Below are 25129 nucleotides of genomic sequence, written 5' to 3'. Positions count from 1 at the left end.
GTGCAACTAGATGATGTAGCTTGTCCAAGGTCACCTGGCTTGTAAGATGCAACTCAGGGCCTGGAGTCCAAACCCTTGCGTGGCAGATCCTACCTATGCCCCCAGAGTCTGTGCACTATTCATCCCTGTCATTTCTTCTCCCACAGCCCAGAGAATTCTGTCAAGTTCTCCTCCTTAATTGAGTTACGGCAAGATGGCTCTAAGAATTAAAGTCAGACAAGGACACTCTAATCTGCACTCAGATAGACCAAAGATATTGTCTTGTCTTTAAAGAAACCCAAATGAGCTTCTTTTCAAATGGAAAACTGAGTTTGCTGAATGAAACATCAGAACATTGAAATTCAACACTTTGCTCTGAGAACTGTTAGGTAAATGTAGCAACCAGAAAAATTCATCAATAACTGACACCATAGACCAAGTTCACTCTTTCACTAGATTACCTTTTTTATTATCAATGATAATGCTGGGAATTCTTCTAAGATTAGGTAACTATTCCAGGGGCTTCCCCCTTTAAGAAGCTTCTGGTCATCCCTGGATATAAGAGGAGTTTGCATCTAGATTCGAGTTTGAATAAGGCATCACACACTGTATGAGATATTTAGTTGCTGCCAGAACATTCGTTTGGCTTTTTTTTTTTTTTTTTTCCTCCACATTGGCACTCGCTAGCCCCCTTCCCACTAGCCAGGACATTAAAATTGATTAACAAACACAATGTTTGTGAAAAAAAAGTCAACTACAGGGTAATAAAATGCATTCTTAATTTTTTTTTAAATCATTTCCCTGGCTCAAAGTACATAATTTCAAATTGGCAAAAATAAGCTCCCCTCTTGTCCAGCCCACAAACTGAAAGAGAATTAAACACAGAATTGTTTTTTTCTTGTTTGCATTTCTCAGGGTGTGAAGCATTCATTTTTGTACCTTCAACATTCCTACATTTTCCATAAAACAAAAATGTTACCTCCAATCCAATCTAAACCTAGGGACTTTGTTTTCCTCAGAAGAACGACGTTGTCTTAGTCTAAGAATCTGAGGCACTGAGGCTTTTAAATAAAGGAAGTAGACTCTTGGTTCTCTTTTCAGAGATAATTCTCCCCCAGGGGAAGCAGGCAAAACTTGGTGAACCAAGTGAAGAAGAAAATTCCAGCAACAGGTTTTTCTCTGCCCACTGACTTCTTTGCTGGTTCATTTAAGTACTTTTATTCTTTCATTAAAATTTAAATACTTTTAAAATTTGCTAGTTCATTTACTTTTAAATGTGTTTCAAATGCATATAGTATTGGAGTCATGCTCTACGAAGATGGTAAATGCTAGCCTGCAATTTCTTTTATTAAGGAAAATATTACTGAGATGCCCCTCACTCTTACAAAATGTTTTGTTAAGGGAAATACTACTGAGATGTACCTCACTCTTACAAAATATTTCTTTTTTTATTTTTGAGGCGGAGTCTTGCTCTGTTGCCCAGGCTGGAGTGCAGTGGTGCGATCTTGGCTCACTGCAACCTCCGTCTCCTGGGTTCAAGCTGTTCTCTTGACTCAGCTTCCCAAGTAACTGGGACTACAGGCATGCGCCACCACGCCCAGCTAATTTTTGTATTTTTTAGTAGAGATGGGGTTTCGCTATATGTTGGCCAGTCTGGTCTTGAACTCCTGACCTTGTGATTCACCCACCTCGGTCTCCCAAAGTGTTGAGATTACAGGTGTGAGCCATTAAAAAATATTTCTCTCTGCTTAAACAGACATTTAAAAATAAGCAACCTGGCCGGGTGTGGTGACTCATTTATTTATTAAAAAATAAATAAATACATAAATAAATAAAGTAAAAAAAATCAGCAACCTAAAAAGAGGGATTTTTTTTGTATCCTTTTTAATATCTCAGAACAAGTTGAGGACACTGAAAAGCTGAATTTAATATATTGCAGTCAGAATATTTCAAAAGTCTTGAAAATAATTTCATTAATTTTAGATTTTATTTTTAAATAGCTTAAAGGATGTATTGGGCCTAAGTTTTTTGAGCTAAGAATGTAACTTAAGTGATCAAACCTAAGGGTTCACGAAAAAGATTCTAATGAAATTTCTGAGAATTGATTTTTAAATGTCTGTGATTCATTTTCTGCTCTAAAAACTTCAACCCTTAAGGTTTGGGTTTTGAAAGGCAATGAATTTGGCTGCAGAAAAGAGTGGACTCTTTCTCCATTTGGTTTTGGTTTGGATTTTGGTTATTTTTGTTTGTGTTTTCAAGTTTGTTTTATTACAATGCCTTGGCCAGCACTGTTCTATTACTTTGTCCAACTGTTTTTGAGAGTACAGAGTTATGAAGGATTTTATTTCCTTCATAACTTTCTTTGAAAAGTTTTCCTTCATAGAACTTTTCAAAGAAAGAGATGAAGTGGTGAAGAAAGAGAAGGGATGGAAAATGAAGTACCAAACCAATGACCCTCTCAACTAGAGAGAAATGCTATTGACAAGGACCAGGTCCCCTGACTCCCTCCCTGCCTCTACCCCATTAATAGTTTACCAAGTCAGTTTTGCTCTCTTCATTCATTCTACAATTAATGGTCATTGGGCATTTGTCCTGAAGATGCCATAGGGGAACAGGAGCTACAAACAACCAGATCATGCAAGTCCACTGGGTAAACATCCTAGCAGTCATTACACAGCTTTGTTAGAGCTCAGAGAAAAAAGGACTGGCTTAAAAGGGAACTCATAGACCAAGGAACAATTAAGAGGGACTTTTTGGAGTTTGGGTACGATGAGGGCCCTGAGGGGAGAAAGGGCATTTCAGACAGGAAAAACAGCTGATGAAAATACACATCCTGTATTCAGGGATTTGAGAGAACATCCAGTTAAGAGTTTAGAGAGGGTGAGGTCAGTCTCTAGAGAAGATTCTGGAAAGTTTGTCTAGGGCCAGAGTAGTAAGTGTTGGGTACATCAAGCCAAACAGTTTGGTTTTATTCCTCTAGGCAAAGTGGAGCTGTTGAAAGACTGGCTGGTGGGGAGGTGAGTAGAGACAGAACTGTGGTGGTCTGTTAGCAAAATGGATTAGATCTAGCTGGAGAATGCCAGTGGGGCTCTGAGGGAGGAGACAAGAGGACTATTTGGAGTGTACAGACATAATTAAATCTGTAAATGAGGCTGGGCACAGTGGCTTACGTGTGTAATCCCAGCACTTTGAGAGGTCGAGGTGGGTGGATGGCTTAAACACAGGAGTTTGAGACCAGCCTGGCCAACATGACGAAATCTCTATCAAAATAAAAAAAAAAAAAAAAGAATCAGTGCCACAAGATACTCGCTACTCGGGAGGCTAAGGTGGGAGGATCGCTTGAGCCCGGGCAGTGGAGGTTACAGTGAGCCAAGATAGTGCCATTGCACTCCAACCTGGGCAATAGAATGAGACCCGTCTCAAAACAACAACAACAACAACAAAAAGCTGTAAATGAGGCAAGCTTAAACCAAAGCAGCCCGAGAGTAGTAAAAAGATAGTGGGGATATTTAGGAATGGAAATGGCTGAGTTTTGTAGATGTCTGGATGCTCAGGTCAAAGAAAATAAGGCAGGAGTTGAAGAAAATCTAGGTTTCTGTCTTAGAAACCGGGGAGAGAATGACGAAATTTTAAATCTGGGTGTGTTGCGGTTCTTGATAAGAAAGAGGATTAATGAGTCTACAGTGGATGCTGAAAGATGAGCTTCCTGCTAATGGATTATTCAAAAAGAAAAAACACATTAAATATGCATTATTCATTCACTCAACAAACACTTACAGGGCATTACCATGTGCTAGGTAGGCACTATAATAGGACTTGGGGATATAGCAGTGAACAAAACAGTAGCCTCAGCCTCATCATGTTTATGATACCCTGGGGAATACTGATGATAGTAATAGCTACTATGTGTTGAGTGTTAAGTCTGTGCTAAATACTTTACTTTAGATTATCTGATTTGATCCTCATCACTCTAAGAAGTAGGCATTATTAATATCCCCATTTTACAGAAGAGGAAACAGGCAAAGTGCAAAGTGAGGTCAGTAACTTGCCCAGCTAGAAAGCAGCAGAGTCATGTTGGGAAACACAGAGTCAAAGCCTACTTTCCTAACCTCTAAAGTCTACACAAGACAGAGGGTAAAAAGAGGCTGGCATTCTTATGGTTTTAGGTCTAACATTTAAGTCTTTAATCCATCTTGAATTAATTTTTGTATAAGGTGTAAGGAAGGGATCCAGTTTCGGCTTTCTACATATGGCTAGCCAGTTTTCCCAGCACCGTTTATTAAATAGGGAATCCTTTCCCCATTGCTTGTTTTTGTCAGGTTTGTCAAAGATCAGATAGTTGTAGATACGCGGCATTATTTCTGAGGGCTCTGTTCTGTTCCATTGGTCTATAATGAGAACACATGGACACAGGAAGGGGAACATCACACACTGGGGACTGTTGTGGGCGGGGGGGAGGGGGGAGGGATAGCATTAGGAGATATACCTAATGCTAAATGACGAGTTAATGGGTGCAGCACACCAACATGGCACATGTATACATATGTAACAAACCTGCACGTTGTGCACATGTACCCTAGAATTTAAAGTATAATAATAATAAAATTTAAAAAAAAAAGAGGCTGGAGTTCACAAGGAGATGAGGGTGGAGACTGAGAAAAGCTTTGCCACCTTGTGAAAGCTGCAAGCTCCTTTTACAGTTATTTATTAGCAGGGATTTCATTTCAAAGCAATTCGGGTACTTAAAATCTATCTCTTGTTTTCACTTTTTTAAAAAGCAGTTTTTCAGGCAGGGCGCAGTGGCTCATGCCTGTAATCCCAGCACTTTGGGAGGCGGAGGCGGGTGGATCGCCCGAGCTCAGGAGTTGGAGACCACCCTGGGCAACATGGTGAAACCCCCATCTCTACTAAAATACAAAAAATTAGCTGGGCATGGTGGAACGCGCCTGTAGTCTCAGCTACTCTGGAGGCTGAGGCATGAGAACTGCTTCCACCTCCACCCTGGAAGTGGAGGTTGCAGTGAGCCAAGATCACGCCACTGCACTCCAGCTTGGGCTACAGAGTGAGATTCTGTCTCAAAAAAAAAAAAAAGTTTTTTTTTTTTTGAGTTTTTCTTGAGTCCTGCGGCAGTTATGCAGAGACACCCAGCCAGGGTGCAGCCAGGTCACGGGGTGCTCTATGTGTCCAGACCCCATACCCAGTTATGGGTGCTGAATCTTTCATTTGAAACATGGATGCAGCTTCTTCAGTCTATCACACCCCTCCATGGCTCCACATTAATCCCCTAGCACTAATGGTGTTCATCACATCTTCTGACAACTAATGCAGTTTGTGCTGGAAAAAAAATTATTTTATAACTCCAAGGACATTAATAATTAACTTCTAGTCCACAAAACTAGTAATATCAGTTTGCTGAAATAAAGTCACCAGTGAGTGTTTCATTCTTCTTTAAAGGGTGTCTTCTATTATTATTATTCTACAGTGCAATTTAGTCATCAAAGGTTTACTCAGCCTCATGTTTATAAATTATATAGGGCAAGGATTTAAGTCTTCTGGCCCTACCTGTTCTGAAGACAGGGAGGGCCATAACCTTGTTGTCATACAGGGCACCTGCCTTGAGAGATGATTTGTGAACTTGAAGTTTCTTGCTTCTTTTAGAAATCTGGGGTGAATATACAGATTTCCCTTTGTGACGCAATCAGAGGAATAACCAGCTAGTTGCCTGCCACGAAGAGAGACTGGCTTTTATCCTTCAGAAGGCCGGTTGGAAACAAGTTCATCTTTTTCAATCGAGTTTCAGAATCTTGTCTTGATTATGTGACATAATAATGGTGGCTTTCCAATTCTTCTGTGCAATATTGTTTTTTCATTGTGGTGGTTACAGATAGTTTTTTTTTTGAGGGGGAAGGGCTACTGCCTTAGAGAAATAAAAGTAAAGCAGAAATAATCTAGTGTGCTGCCTACCTAAGTTGGAAATTCCAAGTCCTGACCCACGTTTACATCCCAAGGGAGATGGCTGCCAATCAAGGGCTCATCCACTGTTCATCCAGGGTGAGGGACTTTGGCTTTCCTGAAAAAGTGGTGAGTTTCCCATGCAGCCCTCAAATCACAGCATCCCAAGATGTTGCCATCACAATTAAAGGAGTAGGGGAGGAAGTGGCAGGTGTCTTCCTTTTTTGGTTCCTCCGTTTGAAAAGGGCTTAAAGTAAAAATCAGAGTTAAAGTAACTGGCCTGATCCTATATAGGGGGGTGGGGTTGAACTCCTCGAGGTCATAGGAAGGAGGACCTCGGTTTCCCTGCCAAAACACTCTCATCCCCCAGCTGCAACCCTGGCAGCCCTTGGCCAGAGCCAAGCTAGAGGATGGAAGTCACACTCAAGGGCGTCCGACTCTGGATCTTAGAGGGATTCCTGGCGTTGGCAGGGAGGGCCGAGTCAATTCATTCGGGGCGAGATGCATTCCAAGAATGCTTCTGTGGTCGGCGAGGAGTGGAAAAATCAGGTATCACAAATATTCTGAGGAAACCTAATAGGTACCAGAATCGCAGGGTTCAAACAGGTGACAACGACAAAGGACATTGGCAACTAGAACTCAAAAAGGGGTGAGCGCACTCTCTGCCCGGTGCCCGAGCTTCCACCACTTTCCCCAGTGTCCCCTCTCTTCTCTTTCCTAGGTTGACACCAGCCTAAGCGCCAGCGTTCGCCGGTGAGGGGGCTCCGTGGAGAGGGGGGCGGAGTCCCGCGCCGAACGCCGGAATCCAAAGTAAACACCTCGCCAAACCTACGTTTAGAAAGTGATACCGAACACCACATTCACGTTTTAAAAAAAAATACTGTTTGCTAAGAAGATGAGAGCAAAACATTTCCCAGCTGGAAAATTACTGATCACAAACCAAGGGGAGAGTGGGGGTGGGGGAGGCAGCGTTATAAGATTGAAGTAAAGATCGCCGTTTCCTATTCCCTTCCCGGTGGGCAAGGACGCCTGCGGCGGGCTCGGTGTGCACTTTTTGAGAGCTAGGATCCCACCGCATCGCTCCACTTCCTGGCACATGGTCACTTCCCAGGGAAGTCCCTTTAGGGGGGCCTGACCTACCCGGAGCCTGAGCCGAAGGAACGAGTTGTCCTTTGACCTTTACTGGCCATTTCACCTCTTTATGACTCAATTTCTCATCCATAAAGTGGAAAGGAGAGTGCGTGGCTTGAAAAGTCATCAGTGAGTGTTTAATTCTTCTTTAATGGGTGTCTTCTATTATTATTATTATTCTACAGTGCAATTTAGTCATCAAATATTACAGGCAGTGGCTCACGCCTGTAATCCCAGCACTTCGGGAGGCCGAGGCAGGCTGATCACTTGAGGTCAGGTGTTCGAGACCTGCCTGGCCAACATGGTGAAACCCCGTCTCCACGAAAAATACAAAAATTAGCCGGCGTCGTGGCGCACGCCTGTAATCCCCGCTACTCGGGAGGCTGACGCAGGAGAATCGCTTGGACGCAGGAGGCGGAGGTTGCACTGAGCTGAGATCGTGCCACTGCATTCCAGCTTGGGCGACACAGCGAGACTCTGTCTCACAAAAAAAAAAAAAAGAAAGAAAAAAAAAGGAAAGGGCTTCGAGATGGCTGGTTGAAAACTGTCTCCGCGCCTCACAGTCCCTCTTCTCTCCCTTATGCCTCTGAGTAAATCTTGAGCCCTTTCACTCCCTTTCTCGCTATTTAAAGTATCAAAACCATAACTCCCCATTCGTGCCTCTTTCCGCCTGTTCCCGGCGGAACACTCCTCTGGCCTTCTCTTGAGGCTCCCAGTTCACGCTGCACAGTGCTGGGCACTGCCTCCTCTCCACACCCCTAGCGCCCCCCACCCCTCAGCAGAAGGGCCCGCGAGGAACCGTGCGAGGTCAGGCCGAGCGCCGGCACCGCCACCGGCACTGGCGCTGAGCGACGAGAGCGGACTCCTGCGAGCGCAGAGAGGGAGGGGGAGATGGAGGGCTGGATGAGTCACGCGGATAATCGCGCTCTTCTCCAGCGCGCAGACAGCGCGGCAAGCGCGTATGCTAGCAGGGGTGCGGACGCGTGACCGTGCCGCCCGCTGACCCCACCAGTCTTCGCGGGCTTCGAACCCAGGGAGCCGACAATGGCGGTGAGTACGGCCCTGGTCGCGCAGCGACCGAACCTGCGCCCGGTTCCTCGCGCCCCGCGCTGGGGCGGACGCCGCCGCCGCCGCCGACACCACTGCCGCCGGCGTCAGCTCGGCTCCAGCCCGCCAGCTGCCTGGCTGGCGTCACGGCCCGGCCCAGCCCCGCCCGCGCCCCTCCTTCCCCTCCCCCGCCCCCACGTGCGCCGAGTTTGTTGATTTAGCTGCCATAGCAACGATGGAAGGGAGCCTCGGGGGGGGCGGAGAGAAGAAAGGGAGGGGCGGGGCATGGGAGAAGGCGGAGGAAAAGGCTGTAGCGAAGGAAGTTATAAGTAAGGAACGCGCGCCGGCGGCCGGCAGTTTCCCGACCAGAGAGAACGAACGTGTCTGCGGGCGCGCGGGGAGCAGAGGCGGTGGCGGGCGGCGGCGGCACCGGGAGCCGCCGAGTGACCCTCCCCCGCCCCTCTGGCCCCCCACCCTCCCACCCGCCCGTGGCCCGCGCCCATGGCCGCGCGCGCTCCACACAACTCACCGGAGTCCGCGCCTTGCGCCGCCGACCAGTTCGCAGCTCCGCGCCACGGCAGCCAGTCTCACCTGGCGGCACCGCCCGCCCACCGCCCCGGCCACAGCCCCTGCGCCCACGGCAGCACTCGAGGCGACCGCGACAGTGGTGGGGGACGCTGCTGAGTGGAAGAGAGCGCAGCCCGGCCACCGGACCTACTTACTCGCCTTGCTGATTGTCTATTTTTGCGTTTACAACTTTTCTAAGAACTTTTGTATACAAAGGAACTTTTTAAAAAAGACGCTTCCAAGTTATATTTAATCCAAAGAAGAAGGATCTCGGCCAATTTGGGGTTTTGGGTTTTGGCTTCGTTTCTTCTCTTCGTTGACTTTGGGGTTCAGGTGCCCCAGCTGCTTCGGGCTGCCGAGGACCTTCTGGGCCCCCACATTAATGAGGTAGGTGAGGCGCGCGGCGCTGGGAGCAGGGAGGGGTGAGGACCGGTGGGACGCGCCGGAACGACGGCCGAAAGCCGCCCCTGACTCTCCTGTCTCCGCTCCCTGCCTTGCTCGCAGGCAGCCACCTGGCGAGTCTGACATGGCTGTCAGCGACGCGCTGCTCCCATCTTTCTCCACGTTCGCGTCTGGCCCGGCGGGAAGGGAGAAGACACTGCGTCAAGCAGGTGCCCCGAATAACGTGAGTATCGCTCCGGGCCGCCGGGAACGCCCGGTGGGTTTTCGTGGGTGTGGTGGGGGCGGGCGGAGCCTTGGGGTCACCAAGAGCCACTGAACGAGGGTAAGGAGCGGCCACCGCGCGGACTCCGCAACCTTCCCGGGATAGCTTCCGTGTCCTTGGCTCAGCTGTGTATGCCCGTGGTGCGAGCACTGCGGAGCCGCCTGGGGCGCAAGCCGGGTCTTCACCAGTCCCCGGGCGCGCTGTCGGTAGGGCGGGCGCTCTCGGGCCACCGGGCGGGAGGTGGCCGCGTCCCCAGACACTGGCTGGGCCAGAGTGAGTTTAGCGCGTAGGCGGCCCCGTGGCGAGAGCGCACCGAGAGAGCCTCGGTGTGCCAATTCCGGGGACGTCCACGGGACCTGGAGGGGGAGGGACCAGCCGCGGCGCTCGCTCACACGCAATTGGGCAGACAGGACATAACACCCGCAATACAGACGCATCACCTCTTCTTCGACCCGGGAGTGGGCCGAGATTGCAGCGCTGGCGCCCTGGGTTCCCGGGTGCTTCCTGCCTGACCAGTCCCCATGTCTGGGCGGTGCAGTCGCGCGTGGCCCGCCAGCACGTCAGTATGTCGGGTGGCAACAGGGGACCACCACTGACAGGTCTCTCCCGCCCTGTCCCCGCAGCGCTGGCGGGAGGAGCTCTCCCACATGAAGCGACTTCCCCCAGTGCTTCCCGGCCGCCCCTATGACCTGGCGGCGGCGACCGTGGCCACAGACCTGGAGAGCGGCGGAGCCGGTGCGGCTTGCGGCGGTAGCAACCTGGCGCCCCTACCTCGGAGAGAGACCGAGGAGTTCAACGATCTCCTGGACCTGGACTTTATTCTCTCCAATTCGCTGACCCATCCTCCGGAGTCAGTGGCCGCCACCGTGTCCTCGTCAGCGTCAGCCTCCTCTTCGTCGTCGCCGTCGAGCAGCGGCCCTGCCAGCGCGCCCTCCACCTGCAGCTTCACCTATCCGATCCGGGCCGGGAACGACCCGGGCGTGGCGCCGGGCGGCACGGGCGGAGGCCTCCTCTATGGCAGGGAGTCCGCTCCCCCTCCGACGGCTCCCTTCAACCTGGCGGACATCAACGACGTGAGCCCCTCGGGCGGCTTCGTGGCCGAGCTCCTGCGGCCAGAATTGGACCCGGTGTACATTCCGCCGCAGCAGCCGCAGCCGCCAGGTGGCGGGCTGATGGGCAAGTTCGTGCTGAAGGCGTCGCTGAGCGCCCCTGGCAGCGAGTACGGCAGCCCGTCGGTCATCAGCGTCAGCAAAGGCAGCCCTGACGGCAGCCACCCGGTGGTGGTGGCGCCCTACAACGGCGGGCCGCCGCGCACGTGCCCCAAGATCAAGCAGGAGGCGGTCTCTTCGTGCACCCACTTGGGCGCTGGACCCCCTCTCAGCAATGGCCACCGGCCGGCTGCACACGACTTCCCCCTGGGGCGGCAGCTCCCCAGCAGGACTACCCCGACCCTGGGTCTTGAGGAAGTGCTGAGCAGCAGGGACTGTCACCCTGCCCTGCCGCTTCCTCCCGGCTTCCATCCCCACCCGGGGCCCAATTACCCATCCTTCCTGCCCGATCAGATGCAGCCGCAAGTCCCGCCGCTCCATTACCAAGGTCAGTCCCGGGGATTTGTAGCTCGGGCTGGGGAGCCCTGTGTGTGCTGGCCCCACTTCGGGACACACGGGATGATGCTCACCCCACCTTCTTCACCCCTAGAGCTCATGCCACCCGGTTCCTGCATGCCAGAGGAGCCCAAGCCAAAGAGGGGAAGACGATCGTGGCCCCGGAAAAGGACCGCCACCCACACTTGTGATTACGCGGGCTGCGGCAAAACCTACACAAAGAGTTCCCATCTCAAGGCACACCTGCGAACCCACACAGGTAGGGGGACAAACTGCAGAAGGGAGGGGGGTTAGCTTCCAGCCCCATAGGCTACCAGTGGACACTCCTCAGTGCCTCCTTGACTTCCCAGGTTAGCTTCCAGCCCCATAGGCTACCAGTGGACACTCCTCAGTGCCTCCTTGGCTTCCCAGGGCAGTCTATCGCCTTGATCTCCGGGATCACTGGAGAGAACAGCAAACCGGCGCCTACTTTTCTGCCCAGGAGCCTTTTGCTTGATGGATGGTATCTGTGTTTGAATGTGCAATTTTGTTAGGCTTTTAAAAGGCAGGAGATTCCCCGCGGTCTGTGGGCCTCTCCTAGCTTGGCATTATAATCAAGAAATTATACTTTGCTATGCAAAAGCATGATGGCTTTTTTAAAAAAATCGTTTTTTAATGTTCCCTTCCCAGGTTCACCCTCCCTTTTTGTTATTTTGAATTCTGGTCGTAACAATTCGGTCTTACTTTTTTATTTTTTATTTTTTGTTCGTTTTGATTTACATTTTTATTTTTTTTCCCCCACAAGCAGAAGGTTTTATTTTAAATTCCAAGAATATGATGGTCAAAATTGCTGGGAAGATTCTGATTTAGGGTTGTCACTGCAGAGCATTTCCATGTCAATGTAAGTAGGTACCCAAAGTCGTTTAGGTGCAGCATTCAGTAACGTAAAGGTAAAGAAAAAAAAAGTAGCCACCTGTGGCTTTTTATCCCCAGTCGTAGTAGGAATAAGATTGCATGGTTTGGGCACACTACCAATCACAATTTCCAAATTTCATTTCCACCACTGAGATGCCTTGACTCAAATGAAACATTAGTATAGGTTTAGGTGGTGTTTGTGTGTTTTTGGTGAAACATTAGTATAGGTGTAGGTGGTGGTTGTGTGCTTAACTGACCCCCTAAAAACAAGACCAAATACTTAAGCACGGAATGTATTTCTGTTTATGATATGGAATTCAATACACCCCTTCAGTGGTATAAAGACATTCCTGGATTTCTTTAGGATAGGGTCAGAGTTGGTTTACTATCTGGCCTTCAGTTTTTAAAAGGGGCGATTCTTTGATATAGCAATAGCGTCAATTTTTTTTTTCTTTTACCTTTACAGGTGAGAAACCTTACCACTGTGACTGGGACGGCTGTGGATGGAAATTCGCCCGCTCAGATGAACTGACCAGGCACTACCGTAAACACACGGGGCACCGCCCGTTCCAGTGCCAAAAATGCGACCGAGCATTTTCCAGGTCGGACCACCTCGCCTTACACATGAAGAGGCATTTTTAAATCCCAGACAGTGGATATGACCCACACTGCCAGAAGAGAATTCAGTATTTTTTACTTTTCACACTGTCTTCCCGATGAGGGAAGGAGCCCAGCCAGAAAGCACTACAATCATGGTCAAGTTCCCAACTGAGTCATCTTGTGAGTGGATAATCAGGAAAAATGAGGAATCCAAAAGACAAAAATCAAAGAACAGATGGGGTCTGTGACTGGATCTTCTATCATTCCAATTCTAAATCCGACTTGAATATTCCTGGACTTACAAAATGCCAAGGGGGTGACTGGAAGTTGTGGATATCAGGGTATAAATTATATCCGTGAGTTGGGGGAGGGAAGACCAGAATTCCCTTGAATTGTGTATTGATGCAATATAAGCATAAAAGATCACCTTGTATTCTCTTTACCTTCTAAAAGCCATTATTATGATGTTAGAAGAAGAGGAAGAAATTCAGGTACAGAAAACATGTTTAAATAGCCTAAATGATGGTGCTTGGTGAGTCTTGGTTCTAAAGGTACCAAACAAGGAAGCCAAAGTTTTCAAACTGCTGCATACTTTGACAAGGAAAATCTATATTTGTCTTCCGATCAACATTTATGACCTAAGTCAGGTAATATACCTGGTTTACTTCTTTAGCATTTTTATGCAGACAGTCTGTTATGCACTGTGGTTTCAGATGTGCAATAATTTGTACAATGGTTTATTCCCAAGTATGCCTTAAGCAGAACAAATGTGTTTTTCTATATAGTTCCTTGCCTTAATAAATATGTAATATAAATTTAAGCAAACGTCTATTTTGTATATTTGTAAACTACAAAGTAAAATGAACATTTTGTGGAGTTTGTATTTTGCATACTCAAGGTGAGAATTAAGTTTTAAATAAACCTATAATATTTTATCTGAATAATGTTTTTTATTGTTTTGTTTTCCTCCTGGAAAAATATGAACAGTGTTTGGTTTAAACACACCGGGTTAATAAGGCATGTAAGAAGCACGCACAAAAAAGCCAACTTTATGTCAACAAATTAAAATACCTTTTTTTATTAAAAAAAAACTATTTAGTTTTACCATAAATACTATCAATATAGGGCTGAGAACTCTTGATTATTGTACGTTTAAAAATTACAAGATTAAAAACCCAGTTCAGGTTTGCTCTTTCCAAATGTACGTAAAGCTACGTGAAAGCAGTTTCCTTACCTATGATTTTCCCAGTAGAAACAGCTTAATCATCCTTAAATTTGCTCAGTTTAGTATGAAAATATTTATGAAATATATACATTTCAGTTTCATATTTGAAAAAAATCTTTATGGTTTGTCTTTTAAAGTAAATAAAAATAAAAAAGTTTTCTGTGGAGGCCTGTCCCAGCACCCCTCACATCTGAGTAACAAAAGAACCTTCCTACAGCAGACAACCCTAAGAACGTAGTTCCACAGTGCCCTCCTGAGGATTAAAGGGTTCATTTATGCTTGGTGTGTGTTAAAGATACATCACTTCTACTAGTTACAGCCTTAAAGAGGTCAGAACCAAAGTTTCTGGCAGATTGTTTTAAAGCTAAATCAGTTCCCCTGACTGAAGGTGGGAAAACAAACTGAAATAAAATAATTTAAAAATTATTCAAATTCATAAAACTAAGTGTAAAGTAAGATGGTGTTATGGTAAGTTTGTAGCGTTTATATTAGAAGTTTTAATATTAAAACTCAAAACTGCCCTGTTAGAATCTGAAGTTCTTGAGATGGGTGCCTGAAAGATTGAAATTCATTTGGGGCTATCGCAAAATGGAAAAAGCATTTGTGACACTTGTTGACACCTTATATACTTGTAATAGTGATGTGGGTGACTAAACATCATCAAGGGGACAGAGCTCACTGCTCACTGGCATTTTTTTTAGAGTGCTTATTAACTATTGATTGTATCTAGTGTCCAGAGGTGCGTTTGTACCATGGGTACATGTAATAAATGAAATAAAAAATGGATGTTTATAAGAGGCTTATGGTAGATCAGCACAAGGTATTTTCTTTGGCTTTTGAGAGTCCACCATGACTGGAAAGCATAGCATGTGTCTCTGCTTAAAAGAAAACAGGTGCATCAATAGGATGGAATTTTATGTGGCCAAGAACATATTCAAAGCATATTTAATGACATGGAAAAATGCTCATAGTAATGTTAAGTGGAAAAAGCAGGATATAAGACTATCAACAGTACCAATTCAACTGTGTACATTTAAGTGTATGTGTGCTTTGAAGGAGAGAGAGAGAAACAAAAGGAAATTAAGAGAAAACCCTAGAAGGAACTGCCAAAATATTCATACTGGTTTTCTCAGTTTTAATTTTCTTTTCTTTTTTTTTGAGATGGATTCTTGCTTGTCACCAAGGCTGGAGTGCAGTGGTGTGATCTCGGCTCACTGCAATCTCCACTTCACAGGTTCAAACGATTCTCCTGCCTCAGCCTCCTGAGTAGCTGGGATTACAGGCGCCCACCACCACACCCGACGAATTTTTGTATATTCAGTAGAGACAGGGTCTCACCATGTTGGCCAGGCTGGTTTCGAACTGCTGACCTCAAGTGATCCGTCCACCTAGGCCTCCCAAAGTGCTGGGATTACAGGCATAAGCCACCGTGCCCAGCCTAAATTTTCTTTTTTGAAGTTTTCAAATATTCTAAAACAGCTATAGTAAGTTTGAAAAACTTTTTCATAAGAATGAAGATATAAAGAACAATTAAAATTATTTAAACAAAAAGCCCTCATTAGAACACATTATTCTGTAAATTATGTTTAGATTTCTTTAAGTTTAAATTTCTTAAATTTCTGTTAAATTGTGGTTGGTTGCTTTTGTAATCCACCTCTGTTATACAGAATCTTTTGGCACACGGTGTATGAAAATGACTGAAAAATGCCATCTTTATATTTGCTAAGTGCATATTATCTCGAATAGAAGAAACATGCATAAACTATCAAGAATTTTAAATTTATTTAAAATTTTCTGATGTCATAGATTAACATTCCTCTACGTTAACTTTTTCTTTATTCTTAATTTTTATTTAATTCTTTTTCTTCAGCTTTTAAGTTCAGGGTACATGTGCAGGATGTGAAGGTTTGTTACATAGGCAAACATGTGCCATGGTGGTTTGTTGCACCTAGATATTAAACCCAGCATCCATTAGCTATTCTAACTGATGCTCCCTCTCCCCAACCCCTATTTTTTTAATTTTTAATTTAATTTTAAAAAATTTTATAGAGGCAGGGTCTCACTATGTCGCCCAGGTTTGGTCTCGAACTCCTGAGCTCAAGCAATCCTCCTGCCTCGGCCTCCCAAAGTGCTGGGATTACAGGCATGAGCCATAGCACCCAGCCTACATTAACTTTTTCTAGCCTGAAAAAGAAAGCTTCAATATCTAAAATGAATGAGGAAGATTTCCCAAAACTGTGACCAAACAAAATACTATTCGACATACGCCAATAGCTAAATTATTTACTCTGGGACCTATCAGCTGTGGGCTCCTAGGTGTGCTGTCATTATGGTGTTACAGAGCCGTTTATACACTATACAATAAAGAGTACCTAATAATTGTGATGCCTGCTTATTATATTTTCCTTATGACACTTAATTTTACTGTTTCTTATTTTAACTTGTGTGCCTACACACACAAAGGATTAACAATGATGTTTCCTACACACATCAACAGACTTTCAGTCCACCTATTTTCCAGCAAAATGTCTCTTCTGATAAAATTCTTTCTGCCTGAAAACGTATTTGACTCTTGCTATCCTGTTTCAGTTTGTAAAACAAAACAGATGCTTTCACTATCTCAAGTAGGATGGTCATGAGGAATATTTCTTTTTCTTCCAAAAATTGTTCCAGGCCGGGTGTGGTGGCTCACACCTGTAATCCCAACACTTTGTGAGGTTGAGGTGGGAGGACTGCTTGAGGCCAAGAGTTTGAGAGCAGCCTGGGAAACATAGCAAGACCTCATCTCTATCAAAAAAAAAAAAATCAATGAAAAAGTGTTACAATTTTTAGAAACATGAAATGCTCTTCACAGTTGGAGATTGATAATTTTTACATATAATTTATTTCCATATAAGGAAGCCCAGGGGAGGTAGTCTTTATGCTACAGAAGCAAGTCCACAGAGAAAATATTAAAACAAGCAGTGGTGGTACCTGTTGTACTTCAACAAATGGGAGTATCTAAATTTAGCAGCCTGTATCAGCCACCTGTCCTATTAAATGTTCTGGCTTCTGAAGCTCCATTCAACACAACATACATACATAGATGGATTTGTAGCCTAGATACTCCCTCACCCACTCTTGTCCATTTATTTCCCTGTCTCTCATACAGACATGAATGCCACCCAGTCCCACATAAACCCTTTTACTTTATGTATTATTCTTATCATTTTATTCATGATTTTATTACATATTGCGTTTTATCTATTTGTTTTACTTCTTTGTATTTTCGTAGCACCTTCTACAGGCTATTGTATAGTGACATGTTTTTATAGTGCTAAACCGAAGCTATGTCTGCCTCCTAAAGGTTGTTTATGAAACTATCATTCATTGTTCACACGCAGAGTCATTCAATAATATTTCATATAAAACCTCCAAGACCAGTCTATATAATGAATGCTGTAAAAAATATCATGGAATGTTCTACCTGTGGGGGGGAGGAAAACCACAAACTACTGTTAAAGTTAGAATACTGCATGAAAATAAAAACTTTTTTTCTACATTAAATGAAACTAAAATGAAAGTTGGAAAGTTTCCCTTTGGAAAACTTTATCTTAAACAGCAAGGTGAATCTTGAGTAAATTTCTCACCATCTCCTGAAAAACTAATAAATTCTTAAATCCATTTGAAGAACCTGGTGCTTTACTCCCCTGGTCACAGTCAAAACAGAGGGAAAGCAACTGCTAAAATGTTAGCATACACAGAAAAATCTTTCAGGCTGGAATCAAGGCTACCACAGCCAGTTAACTTAGCTGGGGAGGAACGGGTGCATGGGGTTGAAATATTAGTCAAACTGCTTCTCTGGAGTCATGTGCATCTGGAGCCCATCTTTTTAATTGTTTTCCACGGTGCCCTTGATATAATATACTTTTTTAAATTGCTTCGGTCTTCTCGACACCCTAGATGAGTCAGCATGTTGCAATCATTCGCCCAAATGTCTTTCTCCACTTGGTCTTTTTTTTTTTTTTTTTTTTTTGAGACGTTGCTCTGTCGCCCAGGCTGCAGTGCTGTGGCGCAATCTCTGCTCACTGCAACCCTCCGCCACCTGGGTTCAAGCCATTCTCCTGCCTCGGCCTCCAGAGTAGCTGGGACTACAGGCAAGCACCAACACGCCAGGCTAATTTTGCATTTTTAGTAGAGACGGGGTTTCGCCATGTTGGCCAGTTCTCGAACTCCTGACCTCAAGTGATCCTCCCGCCTCGGTCCCCCAAAGTGCTGGGATTACAGGTGTGAGCCACCACGCGCGGCCTCCACTTGTTCTTAAAGGAAAGGAGGAAATAAACAAATTCAATTTAATAACAGCAAAAAGTAAATTCACAGTTAGAAATCCCTTTGACATCTCACCTGAGGATACCTAACACAACATTTTTCTTTTTTTTTTTTTTTTTTTTGGTATTATTAGTAGAGATGGGGTTTCACCATGTTGGCCAGGCTGTTCTTGAATTCCTGACCTCAAGTAATCCACCTGCCTCGGCCTCCCAAAGGGTTGAGATTACAGGCGTGAGCCACCGTGCCGGGCCTGCTTTTGTTTTTTGTAAAGACAGGGTCTCCCTATGTTGCCAAGGCTGGTTATGTTTCTTTTCATGTCCATTTTACATGTTATAATAATATAATCTAAGTAGAGCAGGAAACAAGAAAGTTAGGTTTTTAGATAGAGAGAGAGGACCAGAAGGTCAAGTGGGGCTATAATTCCTGTCTCACGTATAATATTTGAATCTGTACTAACTGGCACTGGATCAATATATTACTAAATAGTGTCCAAATCCCCATGATACAAAACCAATGCACTCAGGTGCTATACCTATATATCCATTTAAAAGCTTAAAGAGCAAATAACTTTATGGAGAAATTGGAGAAACCCTGAATACACTTGCTGAGAGACCAGGAGATGGTAATTGGTACAAACTATGAAAGAATAATGTCTTAGACATGACAAATAGAAGAGATTTTATCTGTAAGGACAAGCATGCTTCTTGCCTGCTCCAGGTCACTTTTTGTTGGTGTATAACAATCCCTTCTGCACAGCTCTATGAGGCTTACAAAGTACTTACACCCTACATTACCTCAATCTTACAAAGTAGGGATGGGATTTTCCTCTCCCATCTCCAGTATGCGGATGAAGAAACTCAGGTTCCCTTTACAGGTTAGCATTTTGCTGTCACTTCTCATTCTTGCTGACATACTCAAAGCACTTCTTTTCTAATACCTTTGTTTCAGTCTGCTGGGCAGGTAGGGCTACAGGTATAAAGGATCCACCCCAATTCAAAAGGATTTGCTAACGTCCAGGTTCTTCCAGTAAACCTGTTTAAGAGTCAAAAGCCTCAGACTTTCTGTCTCCCTATCAATGTACTATCTCCTTTGTCAAAGTAGACAGATAGGGAAGGCAGAGTTTCCTGCAGATGTTTCTTCAGCTGGGGCCACTATGCCATGTACACAGTTCATACTTTTTGTTCTGAAGTTCTTGTTTCTGGCCTCACCTCTGGCCCAGCACATAGCTCTCCTGGTCAAATAGATCTGGTCAAGCCCTTCCCCTATTCTGTAACTTCCCATGGTCCCCAGTGCTTAGTGGATATAGATTTAACATGGTCTCTTCCCTATTTGTGGCTTCCAGCTGCTTGTTCAAGATCCTATCTAGGGCCGGGTGTGGTGGCTTATGCCTGTAATCCCAATACTTTGGGAGGCCAAGGAGGGCGGATCACGAGGTCAGGAGTTCGAAACCAGCCTGGCCAACATGGCGAAACCCCGGCTCTACTAAAAATACAAAAACTAGCCAGGCGTGGTGGAAGGAGCCTGTAATTCCAGCTACTCGGGAGTCTGAGGCAGAAGAATCGATTGAACCCAGGAGGTGGAGGTTACAGTGAGCTGAGATTGTGCCATTGCACTCCAGTCCGGGTGACAAGAGCAAGACTCCGTCTCAAAAAAAAAAAAAAATTAGCTGGGCATGGTGGCAGGAGCCTGTTATCCCAGCTACTTGGGAGGCTGAAGTAGGAGTATTGCTTGAACCCGAGGTGGAGGTGGCAGTGGGCTGAGATCATGCCACTGCACTCCAGCCTGGGCGACAAGAGTGAAACTCCGTCTCAACAACAACAATAACAAAAGACCCTATCTAGTTCCTCCTTAGATAAACCTGCCATGCTCAACAACTTCTGGTCCTCCAGTGCACATGGCTGTTTCAGCATTTGAAACTTGCCTGCAGATACTGGTCTCCACTGCTTCTGGAAAGACCCCTACTACCCTGACAAAAGCCTATATGTCTCTTAAAAGCCCAGCTCTTAAGAATACACCTCCATTCTATTTAGATCTTGCATTAAACCCTTATTCGTGTGTATTACAAGGTTATGTGGGGTTTTTCTGTGTATTTTGTTTGTTTGTTTGAGACAAGGTCTTGCTCTGTTGCCCAGGCTGAAGGGCAGTGGTGCAAACATGGCTCACAGCAACCTCAAACTGCTGAGCTCAAATGATCCTCCCATCTCAGCCTCCTGAGGAGCTGGAACCACAGGCATGTGCCACTACTTCTGGTTAATTTCATTATTATTTTTCTGTATAGATGGGGTCTCACTATATTGCCCAGGCTGGTCTCTTAACTCCTGGCCTCAAACGATCCTCCTGCTTTGGCCTCCCAAAGTACTGGGATTACAGGTGTGAGCCACTGCACCCAGTCTATTATAAGGTCTTATGGGTCTGGCTTCCCCTAAAGACATGAGCTTCTGGAGGGCACTAGGAGGTTTCTTGATGTGTCCTTGAATACCCTCAGTTACTAAACTTAATTGAATAAAAGTAATCATTGACTGAATATTTAGCCAAAATCCTGGGTTATCCAAGGAAAGGATAAAATATCTCCTTTCCCCAAATTTTGGCATCCTGGAGGACAGGCCCAGTGGTCTCTCAATTGCTTCCTGTAGGTCGCCTGACATCCATCTGCCTTCCTCAACACACAACAAACCCCTCAAATGAACAAAACTCTTTCCAGAGTCAATCCCACACTTTGGGAGGCCGAAGTGGGTGGATCACTTGAGATCAGGAGTTCTAGACCAGCGTGGCCAACATGGTGAAACCCCATCCCTATTGAAAATACAAAAATTAGCCGGGCATGGTGGCCTGCACCTGTAATCCCAGCTACTTAGGAGGCTGAGACAAGAGAATTGCTTGATCCTGGGAGGCAGAGGTTGCAGTCAGCTGAGATCACGCCACTGCACTCCAGCCTGGGTGACAGAGTGAGACTCTGTCTCAAAATCCTGGCATCTCCTTTTTGTGAACTCTTCCTTGCCATGTAATTCTCTGCATTGACTCTGGAAAGAGTTTTGTTCATTTGAGGGGTTTGTTGTGTGTTGGGGAAGACAGATGGATGTCAGGTGACCTACAGGAAGCAATTAAGAGACCACTGGGCATGTCCTCCAGGATGCCAAAATTTGGGGAAAGGAGATTTTTTTTTTTTTGAGACAGAGTCTTGCTCAGTTGCCCAGGCTGGAGTGCAGTGGTGCCATCTCAGCTCACTGCAAGTTCCACCTCCCCGGTTCACGCCATTCTCCTGCCTCAGCCTCCCAAGTATCTGGGACTACAGGCACCTGCCACCATGCCTGGCTAATTTTTTTTGTATTTTTAGTAGAGACGGGGTTTCACCGTGTTAGCCTGGATGGTCTCGATTTCCTGACCTCGTGATCCACCTGCCTCAGCCTCCCAAAGTGCTGGGATTACAGGCATGAGCCACTGCACCCAGCAGGGAAAGGAGATATTTTATCCTTTTTTTGGATGACCCATTGGGCCTCCTTTCAAGAAAAAAGGTATGTGTACCATGGACATATGACAAATAATGAAGGCTAAAAAAAAAAAGAAAAAAATTGCACTTTAAAAGCTTAGGCCAGGCACGGTGGCTCACGCCTGTAATCCCAGCACTTTGGGAGGCCGAGGCAGGTGAATCACTTGAGGTCAGGAGTTCAAGACCAGGCTGACCAACATGGTGAAACCCCATCTCTACTAAAAATACAAAAATCACCTGGGCGTGGTGGTGGGCACCTGTAATCCCAGCTACTCAGGAGGCTGAGTCAGGAGACTCGCTTGAAACCGGGAGGCGGAGGTTGCAGTGAGCCAAGATCGTGCCACTGCACTGCAGCCTGGGCAACAGAGCGAGACTCCATCTCAAAAAAATAATAATAAAATAAAATAAAAGCTAAAAGAGGGTACTTTCCTGACCTCATGATCCACCCGCCTCGGCCTCCCAAAGTGCTGCGATTATAGGCGTGAGCCACCATACCAGCTAAAAGAGGGTACTTTCTACTCTAGGATATTGAGTGGGCCAGTCTGCCCAAACAGGAAGGTTTAGCTTTGGGTGCTGTGAAACCCTCCCATTTGGTTTGCTCCAATTCAAGCTTGAGACTCTTCTAGTTTGCCTGGATGACAGTAGTTTTCTGACCTCTGAATACATCTAAATAAACTCACTCTGACAGTGCGCGGAATTGACCATTGCCCTGCCTTTGAGGCACTGTTACCGCCTCACCTAGGAATGGGTAACATTGCAAGGACTGAAGCTGTAAAATTACGTAGGTAGCTCACAACTATAATGCCAATACTTTGGGAGGCAGAGGTGGGAGGATCACTTGAAACCAGGAGTTCAAAACCATCCTGGTCAATATAGGGAGACTCTGTCTCTCCAAAAAATAAAAAATAAAATAAAAAAATAACAAAATTAGCCAGGAGTGGTGGCATGTTCCTGTGGTTCTGGCTCCTCAAGAGGCTGAGGTGGGAAGATCCCTTGAGCCCAGGAGGCTGAGGCTGCAGTGAGCTATGATTGTTTTACTGCACTCCAACCTGGGTGACAGAGCAAGACCCTGTCTCAAAAATAAAATAAAATTACGTAAGACGTTTGAAAAGGAAAGCATCTTCAAGACCATTTAACTCAAGGAAAAGACCCAGATAAAGGACTTGTGACCTTGCCCAAGGTCACATCAAGTTGACATCTGAGGAACCAGCACCTAGATCTGATTTACTTAACAGGCCAATCATCCATGGCTTCATCCTAACAGCCCAAGGGAAGCTTAGAGGAATCAAGATGATCAAAAACATCTTGCTGGCTGGGTGTGGTGGCTCATGCCTGTAAGCCCAACACTTTGGGAGGCCAAGGTGGGTGGATCACTTCAGATCAGGAGTTCCAGACCGGCGTGGCCAACATGGCGAAGCCCTATCTCTATTGAAAATACAAAAATTAGCCGGGCATGGTGTCGTGCACCAGTAATCCCAGCTACTTAGGAGGCTGAGGCAAGATAATTGCTTGAACCTGGGAGGCAGAGGTTGCAGTGAGCTGAGATCATGCCACTGCACTCCAGCCTGGGTGACAGAGTGAGACTGTCTCAAAAACAAAACAAAACCAACCAACCAACCAAACAAAAAACACCATGCTCACCTCGGCAGCACATATCCTAAAATTGGAAAAATACAGAGATTAGCATGGCCCCTGCGCAAGGATGACATGCAAATTCGTGAAGTGTTCCATATTTTTCTGTTCTTGCACAGGCTCTTAAGCAACATGGAAATAAGGTTGATGGAAAATAAACATCAGTTTCTAAACAAACAAACAAAGAAACAACAACAAAACAAAAAACACCATGCAGAAAAGATGGCTTTCAGAGGAAAGTTCTGTTTTTTTGTTTTTTTTCCTTTTTTTGAGATGGGGGATGAGGTCTCACCCTGTCACCCAGGCTGAGTGGTGCAATCACAGCACACTGCAGCCTCAACCGCCTGGGCTCAAGAGATTCTCCCTCTCAGCCCCCCAAGTAGCTGAGACCACAGACATGCACCACCATACCTGGCTAATTTTTTTAAAAAATTATTTTGTAGAGACAAGGGTATCCCTATGTTGCCCAGGCTGGTCTCTAACTCCTGGGCTTAAGGGCCTCGACCTCTCAAAGTGCTAGGATTACAGGCATGAGCCACAGTGCCTGGCCCTGGAAAGTTCTAAATTCAATGTAATGTTGTGCTCTAACATCCAAAAAAGTATTTTACTGTGCTTTATCATCCTTCTGTATAGTGCTCTGTTACCGGCCAGCTAGGACAGGACTACTCACTGGTCACTGTGTTCCCTCTAGAGAGAACATAGGAACCATTCCCTCAAAATGTGATAGTATCATTCTGGCTTTGTTCCACTTTCTCTTTCCATGCAATTGATTCAAACACATGTAATCAATTCAAGGATCTACTTTACTAGCCACTGTGCAAAGGGCAGGAGAAGCAAAGATGAGTAAGAATCTGTAAATATGGCCAGTCGCAGTGGCTCACACCTGTAATCCCAGCGCTTTGGGAGGCCGAGGCGGGTGGATCACCTGAGGTCAGAGGTTCGAGACCAGCCTGGTCAACATGATGAGACCCTATCTGTACTTAAAATACAAAAATGAGCTGAGTGTGGTGGTGGGCACCTGTAATCGCAGCTACTTGGGAGGCCGAGGCAGGAGAATCACTTGAACCCAGAAAGTAGAGGTTGCAGTGAGCTGAGATCATGCCACTGCACTCCAGCCTGGGTGACAGAGTGAGACTCAGTCTCAAAAAAAAAAAAAAAAAAGAATACGCAGGTTTACAGATACTGTTTCCTCCTGCAACTGCTCTGCAAAGGGCATAAAGTGTAAGTTAAATGAAAATCAGCTTTCTAGCCCCAGTAAAAAAATTGTTACCTTTCTTAAAAAAGTGATACATGATTCTTTGCAAGACTCAACCATGTTAACTACAACCACATATACCATTCTCCCCCCTACAATTTTCTTGATTGCTTCTTCTTCTTCTTCTTATTTTGAGACTTTGTCTTGCTCTGTTGCCCAAGCTGGATTGTAGTGGCGCAATCGCAGCTCACTCCTACCTCTGCCTCCTGGGTTCAAGCAATTCTCTGCCTCCACCTCCCGAGTAGCTGGGATTAGAGGTGCCCACCACGGCCAGCTAATTTTTTTGTATTTTTCGTAGAGACAGGGTTTCACCATCTTGGCCAGGCTGATCTTGAACTCCTGACCTCATGATCCACCCACCTTGGCCTCCCATAATGCTGGGATTACAGGTGTGAGCCACCGTGCCCGGCCGATTGCTTATTATTTTTTAGATACATTTAACTTGTTTATCGGGTGCATGTTAAGGCATATTAAGATGTGTTTTTCAGATTCAGCATGAAGGTTTTGGCCCTATTCAAAAATATCACAAAATTCTGTTGGAATTAATAATTTGGTCAGAATGGGTCTTAATTTTCAAACCAAGACACCTTGGGTTGCTATGGATTGGAAACTGCATATCTAGACCACGAGAACACGTGATTTTGTTTTAAGCACAATTAACTTTACAGCGAGAGAGCATAACTGACATCACATATAGCTCTCGCTGTGCCAAAGCCCACAGAAAGAGAAGAGGCTTTGCCTAGGGGATTCTTTGCATTAACGACTTTGTTAGACAAAGCCACTC

The 25129-nt window shown here is 45.6% G+C and overlaps 1 protein-coding gene and 1 pseudogene across 2 annotated transcripts, besides 3 other annotated features; both read left to right on the top strand.

Annotated features, from left to right (window-relative positions):
* Window positions 8181-8390: a silencer, noted in NCBI's record as "silent region_20159". NCBI's record gives its function as "represses an Ori minimal core promoter by ATAC-STARR-seq in GM12878 lymphoblastoid cells {active_cell/tissue: GM12878}" and the evidence as "EXISTENCE:reporter gene assay evidence [ECO:0000049][PMID:35858748]".
* Window positions 8462-13379, top strand: KLF4 (KLF transcription factor 4). Of its 2 annotated transcripts, NM_004235.6 has the most exons (5): window positions 8462-9063; window positions 9181-9301; window positions 9964-10936; window positions 11039-11203; window positions 12305-13379. In NM_004235.6, the coding sequence occupies exons 1-5, from the start codon at window positions 9059-9061 to the stop codon at window positions 12478-12480; spliced, it is 1440 nt and encodes a 479-aa protein (NP_004226.3). In that variant the 5' UTR covers window positions 8462-9058; the 3' UTR covers window positions 12481-13379. The 2 variants fall into 2 exon arrangements, with proteins under 2 accessions (NP_004226.3, NP_001300981.1); NM_001314052.2 differs by having other exon boundaries at window positions 9964-11203.
* Window positions 8750-8949: a silencer, noted in NCBI's record as "fragment chr9:110251563-110251762 (GRCh37/hg19 assembly coordinates)". NCBI's record gives its function as "represses an EF-1alpha promoter that drives an FKBP-Casp9 reporter gene in an ReSE screen in both phorbol 12-myristate 13-acetate-treated (for megakaryocytic differentiation) and untreated K562 erythroleukemia cells {active_cell/tissue: K562 | K562(+PMA)}" and the evidence as "EXISTENCE:reporter gene assay evidence [ECO:0000049][PMID:32094911]".
* Window positions 9601-9650: a silencer, noted in NCBI's record as "silent region_20158". NCBI's record gives its function as "represses an Ori minimal core promoter by ATAC-STARR-seq in GM12878 lymphoblastoid cells {active_cell/tissue: GM12878}" and the evidence as "EXISTENCE:reporter gene assay evidence [ECO:0000049][PMID:35858748]".
* RNU6-492P (RNA, U6 small nuclear 492, pseudogene) lies at window positions 23093-23194 on the top strand (annotated as a pseudogene).

Source organism: Homo sapiens, chromosome 9 (assembly GCF_000001405.40).
Source record: "Homo sapiens chromosome 9, GRCh38.p14 Primary Assembly".
NCBI lineage: Eukaryota > Metazoa > Chordata > Mammalia > Primates > Hominidae > Homo > Homo sapiens.
Note: the sequence above shows the minus strand (reverse complement) of the source record. Positions and strands in the feature narration are given on the sequence as shown.

What these genes read in the sequence shown, in the direction of transcription:
- KLF4 (NM_001314052.2), top strand. An exon ending in AAGCAGGTGCCCCGAATAAC is followed by an intron (nt 9,302 to 9,963) that starts GTGAGTATCGCT and finishes CTGTCCCCGCAG; the next exon opens with CGCTGGCGGGAGGAGCTCTC. An exon ending in ACACCTGCGAACCCACACAG is followed by an intron (nt 11,204 to 12,304) that starts GTAGGGGGACAA and finishes TTACCTTTACAG; the next exon opens with GTGAGAAACCTTACCACTGT.